The sequence below is a fragment of the Homo sapiens genome, chromosome X (genome assembly GCF_000001405.40).
Source record: "Homo sapiens chromosome X, GRCh38.p14 Primary Assembly".
Classification (NCBI taxonomy): domain Eukaryota; kingdom Metazoa; phylum Chordata; class Mammalia; order Primates; family Hominidae; genus Homo; species Homo sapiens.
Window position 1 is genome coordinate 110,790,771 of NC_000023.11, and position 6,000 is coordinate 110,796,770.

At 45.0% G+C, this 6,000-nt stretch overlaps 1 protein-coding gene across 12 annotated transcripts in view; it reads right to left on the minus strand.

Annotated features, from left to right (window-relative positions):
* The window catches only part of CHRDL1 (chordin like 1), a 121,962-nt gene extending 116,915 nt beyond the window's left edge, over positions 1 to 5,047 (minus strand). For 7 of the 12 annotated variants that reach the window (NR_159734.1, NM_001143983.3, NM_001367207.1 and 4 more), the window contains exons 1-2: positions 4,974 to 5,047; positions 1,318 to 1,445 (exon numbers count right to left, since the gene is read on the minus strand). Coding sequence is in view for 11 of the 12 variants with exons in the window: in NM_001143983.3 (NP_001137455.2) it covers positions 1,318 to 1,411 (94 nt within the window). In the remaining variant the exon portion in view is untranslated. Of the gene's footprint in view, positions 1 to 1,317; positions 1,446 to 4,915 lie in introns of all 12 variants that reach the window. The other 5 variants (NM_145234.4, XM_005262222.3, NM_001367205.1 and 2 more) reach the window with 1 other exon arrangement.

Below are 6,000 nucleotides of genomic sequence, written 5' to 3' on the forward strand. Positions count from 1 at the left end.
GAAGAGGAGGATTCTGAGATGAACTATATTCAAGTGGAAGAAGAAGGAAGCAATTTGAGGGATACAAGAGTAGAGGCTGATCCAAGCTTCCTTGCTGAGATCATGCCCCACTAAACTTCCTTTTGTGTCCCAATCATACTAGATATCACCATACACCGCTCATGCTCAAAAGCATAATCAAAAACACTATTAAACACTGTTTCTCCCAGGAAGAAGACTACACTTACTATGAAAATTGTAGTGGGACAGAAACACACTTAAGGATGGAATAGGCTTGGCACTGTTCTCCTTGTCAGCAAGCCTTCTGCCTGATCTATTTAACTTATGTGATAAAAGAGATAAAGGTTTAAGTGAAGGGCTTCAGATGCTGCTTCAGTTCCTACCAAGAATATTTTCACAGCTCCTTCTCATGAATAAGTTCAGTGAAGCAGAGAATGCCCCTCTTGGACCAATTCCATTTTGTGCTTTTTTTGATGCTGTCAAAAAGGGGAACTAGAGCTTAGGCTTTTCCTTCAAATTTAGAGCAAGCATCTACCTCAGAGATGGCTGCAAGTGGCCCAAAGAAGGTAAGACCCACATTGTGCAAAGGCAGCAAGAACGGATATGTCGACCGTTACTCATAAATCTCCTAAACGTGGCAGCAAGGAGGGTTAATTATCCCCCCCGCCCCCACTTCCTGCCACTCTCTGCTTTCTCCAATGTGTTAGCCCATTACACGGATCGCTGACTTTCTAGAAATATTCCCTGGCTTTGCGGGGATGTTCTTTTCAATAAATGGCATCCAATTTGCTAACGGTCCCTGGAATCTCAATTTCCTCAAAACATTTTTCATCTGAGCCCAGTTCATAGGAAGGTTTCGTCCTTCCTCGTTTTTCGGCATAAGGGAATAGGCAGAGCCTGCTTTTCTTTTTCTTTTTTTTTCTTTTCTGTGTCATTATTTTTCATAAACTGAAAGCCTTTGCTGAAGAGTCTGAAATTTGGGAAAATTCCAGCTCATCTGTCAGATATTTCTAGAGTTACGTAAAATGTAATGAGATTTGTATAGTTTAGAACAGGGAAGAGAAAATAAGCTAATGTGTCATATGTTCTATGAGACAAAGACTACATGATAATCAGAAAAACAGCCCCAAATTTAGTTGGCCTGATTCAAAGCTCTCATTCTTTTATCAATTCATGCATAAACCAGTAACATTCACTTTCTTCTCTTAGAATAATGGCACGGCCACATTTGGGCTAAATCATAATTGCTACAGATTATAGCCACATTTTCAAAGAAATTATAAAAAGTGTATTATTTTCCAAATGCAAGACACTTACGTTTTACTTGCTCTGTTTTGCCTCCTTCTAGCAAAAGAAAGAACAACAACGAAAAGATGTATTTCATGCCTCCCATTTTCCACTTTTTTCTCATTTGGACCACTGCAAAAGGTGACAGAACCTTCAAGCTGTTGGGAAGAAAGCAGAAAAAAGACTTAACACAGATCTTCTGGAAATGATAGAGGTCACTGATGCTCAGGCTTCTAACCTGCTAGAATAAAAAAAAAATGTCCTAGAATTTACATAAGTGTAAGTATTGTCTGCCTGCACAAGATAAAGGACTTGCCTCTCCTGTCTTGCAAGGCTTGTGGGTGAAAATTCAAGTGAATGAGGGTGCATTCCTATCCAAAGCTGAGGCTAAGTCCTTACAGGCAAGTTATAGGAAAATGAAAATAAATTTTGAAATCTTCCTTTCTAAGGGAATTAAAGTTGATTTCTCAAGAGATTTTTTTGGGAGAAAAGGGAAACTTTAGCTTGCAAAAACGGTTATTTTAGCAAACAAGGTAAAAGTAACAAGCATGAGACCAAGCAATTTCTGAAATGAAAGTTAACTAATCTTAGCTTCAAGACTACTTTTAATCCTTTTGGAATGAAGTACAAATTGATCAGTTTCTCCTGTGTCCTCTATGAGATCTACAAGGATCTTTGGTTTGGCAACTAATATTGCAAAAGATAGATGTAATTAGCAAATGGATGCAATTAAACACCTGAAAAGTTTTACTGCTTAAAATGGTTCCAACATATTCCTCCCCCAAGAAGTCCATTGTAAAATGGAAATTTTAAATGGGCCATTTTTAGGGGAAATTGGGCAAATTAAATAGATAATTTGTTCACCTTGCACCACCATGCAAAAGACCATTAAAACAACTACAGTTCTTCAAAACATGAGATTGGCATTCCCAGTATAAGGGGTAGAAATCTTAAACCTTTTGAACCTTGGAACACAGAAAGTTTGCTGTAGCTCACATCTAGTCACGGATCATTTCCACAGATGTTAGAGTTTGCAAAATTCCTCCAATGGGTGATCTGAAAATATTGAAATGTTCTAAAAACACCAGATTCAATCTGAATGGGAAATGAACTCATTGATCTTTCCAGAAAGTCCAACCTAAATATTGCACATAAAGAACTTGAAGGAATGCAAAACGATCATTTTGGAGAGTTGAATATCTTTGGGCTCTGAAGTAGATGCTACAGCTCCTACTTAAATGCTATGAAGTTGCCTGGGTCATTCAAAATCCACTGTTTCAATTATGAATGCATAACCAAGGAAGAACTGATGATAGAGTAATCTGTGCTATCAAACAAGATTTGCAGCACCGTCTGCCTTCCTTCTTTACCTCCTCCCTGCTCCTTAAAGAACCAAATTCTCTCAGGACATGTTCCTACCCATCTAAAGACCTGAGTTCTGATGTCTTGGTCCCCTCTGTGAGTTTGTGGCCCACTTACAATCACTCAGAATGTTACTGTCCCTTGAGGGCTACCACGTTTATTCGAAACAAATCATTTTCATTAACAATTTAACACAGCTACCCACCTCAGTGAGGTTCTTCCTGAGCCTATTCTAATAAGTTTATTCCCCAAGCCTCCAAAAGAGAAAGATTTTTAACCACTGAAATCCAATTTATCACATTCATATATGGATTTCAACGGGTGTTTCTGAAACCATGGTTTTAGGGTCTCCCCATGCGAGAATCAACAGGGCTGCTTTTCTTGTATAATGGTTGGGCGATTCGGTGAACTGTAGCATTGCTTCATAACTCAAGTTGGCAAGAAAACAGCTCATAGATTTTTTTGCCTTTCTTAGGTCCCAACTAATATTATGAGCAAATAAAAAAGTTGGTAACTAGAGAGCAATTAATCTCCTTTGGCGTTCCTGTCATCTGTGTGGCCTCCCAGGCTGTGATGGAGAACATCAGAAAATGAATCGCTTTATAAATATTCACTTTTGATTTACAAGATCCTGAAGTCCTGCCTTTGTATTCTGTGCAGAAATATGAACCAAGAAGAGTTCCCTCCCCAGATCTCCTCACTGTTCAATTTCTCTTTATCTCTTCAGCTTTTTCTTTTAGGGAAGGGGGTGGTTCAAAACATGTGTTGGGACTGCAGCAGTAAACACTAGCAAGCATTGCTCAGCGAACTTAGCCGACTCTTATTCTTGCAAAGAGCCAAACTGTCCTTAATTTTTCAAATTATACTTTGACCCAGTTAACTGGAGTTATTTCTGCATTAACTCTCTGTCTGCTTCACACAGGCTGTTGTGCCATTGAACTTGCACTGGCTCTTTTACAGGTTACTTAGACATGTAGCCATTGACATGCTTCAGGGGATCCAGGACCCAACAAGAAAGCAACAACAACAACAAAAAAACAAAACCCTGCAACTAACACAGGTAGTGGAGGTGGGATGGGAGAGTTCCTGTGTTTTACAAGAGAAAGAGAAATGTATCAAGTACCAAAAGAAAGGTATTTATTAAGGTGCTTCCATGAAACAAGCATTCACATTGTTCATCTGCGTTAAGCAAAGGGACCAACTGCTCCTTGCCCAGCTGTGACTGCAAGGCAATCTGGGCCATCAAGTGTCAGGAGCCCACTTTCAGAACAGGTCTCCTGGGTAGAACAGAAGCAAAGAGACATCCCCACAGGAAGGCTAAGGGATGAACACATGTCAGCCAGTTCTTCACGCCCCACAGTGTCTCTTTAATCCTCCTGAGAGGCTTGACTGACCTTGTAATCTCACATTGACTATCATCTGTGGGACAGCCCCTAGGGTAGCAATTTTCTTTCCGACAAACAATAAGAAAGACACTGGAGTCCCAGGCCCTTGTCCATCAGCTGAAATCCTCTCCCCACTCTACCACCCAGCAAGAAAAGTTCAGTTAACTGGTGGTGTGTTGCCACTGAAAATGGCAGTTTTAACCCAGGGTATCTCTTGTTGGAGGAAATGCTTTCATTGCTGCTTATGACTGACAAACAATGCCTCGCATTTGGCTTGCAAAACACCTTTCTATCATTTCATTTCATTCCACACAACTCCACCTTCAAAATGGGCACTGGGGGGACCCAGAGAACTCAAATAACTTTAGTGGCAGGGCTGGGAGGGACTGGAAAGCAGGCTTTCCGGGCCCTATGTTCTGGCAATATACCACGTTGCTTCCAGAGCCTAGTGTCTCAAATTCTGACCCCCGTAGTCAGGGACAAAAAATGAGGCAGATGGCCAGAGGATAGGATAGGGAGCCTTTCGCCCATCTACCCTGCTACATTAACTTTACCATGTATTCATCAGCAAAATGAGAAAACAGGCTCAGGAATACAGGCAGTGATTAAGGGGACTGCAGAGTCCCTTGGGTAGCTCAGGGTGGAGTACCTAAGTGACCTCTCAAAGCGCCAGAGCATAAAGAAATGCAGGCCGAGTGGGGAGGGACGAGCTGTGAGTTCGAATTCAGAGACCCCCAACTTGCTTTGGTCAGAAGCCTTGGGCCCCACCTCCATCCAGGTTGCTAACTGCTGGAGCACAGAACAGGTTGGGGTGGCAGGGGAATTTGGGGCACCCTGGGGAAACTTCCAGGGACGGCTCCGGCCAAGAGAAGGCAACCCACCTGTGCAAAGGCTGGAAAAGGAGGTGAGGGAAGCGGGCGCCGGGCACTGCTCACTAACCTGGGCACTGGCCTTCTCCGTCTGCCACGCGTGCACGCGCTCCGAGCTCCCCGGGGCGCTCTCGTCCGAGGTCTGGGGCTGGCAGGTTGTGGCGAGAGCTAGAGTGCGCGCGAGGGGGGAGGGGGAACTCAAAAGTGGGTGGGAGGAAAAACATCACCGCCCTCACACCACGAGGGAGCAGCGGCTTGCTCGGCTCCCGGGGGCAGAGCCAAGGCGCGGGCGCGGCGGCCCGGGGCCACCTGCCCGCCCTCCCGCTCGCTCCCCACTTGGCCCGAGAAGCCGGCCGCTCGGCGCTGGCGGGAAGTCCGCAAGCACGCAGCCGCTGCAAGCACGCACACTTTCTCCACCCCGGCACAATGGCTTTATTTCTGCTCCCCCGGCCCGAAAGTTTAAAAATCGGGAGAAAGTGTGAGACTCAGCCGGCTACTTTCCCATCACACAGCGCCCCCACTGCAGCCCCCACTCCTTTGGCTAGGCGAGCGTTGGGGTCTTAAAGGGACCGCACAGCTCCTCCGGTCCCTCCTCCCCCTCTGCACTGGATGCACCTAGGAGCTCCCCACCACTCGCGCACGCCCTGAAGATACCGACTACCCTCTGACTCCCCTGCCTGGAAGCCCACACCCGCTCTCCTCCGGCACCAAGGCCTTTCCGAGGTGTGCACCTGGTCTGGTACTGAGCTGGTGCCCTGGACACAGAATGAACCCTCCTCGCAAATCACGCCCTAGCATGCTGCTTATCATTTCACGGCGTTTCCCATATCCACACTGTGGCTAACAGAGTGACAAAGCTTTGGTTTGGTGTCCTTAAAGGCGGGGTGGAGATGGGTGTGTGTAGGGTCAGGGATTAGAAATCCACTTTCTCTTACAAACTGGGCTCCCAAGCCTCATGGAAAGGGCCTGTTCTAACTGTTAAGTGTCTTGAAGAAAACTTGGTGCCACACACTATACCCACCATTTTTTTTTTAAATGAGTCCCTAAGCTTCTAAGTTGGGCCAAGAGCTCAACCTGGAAATCACAGTAGCACTGCT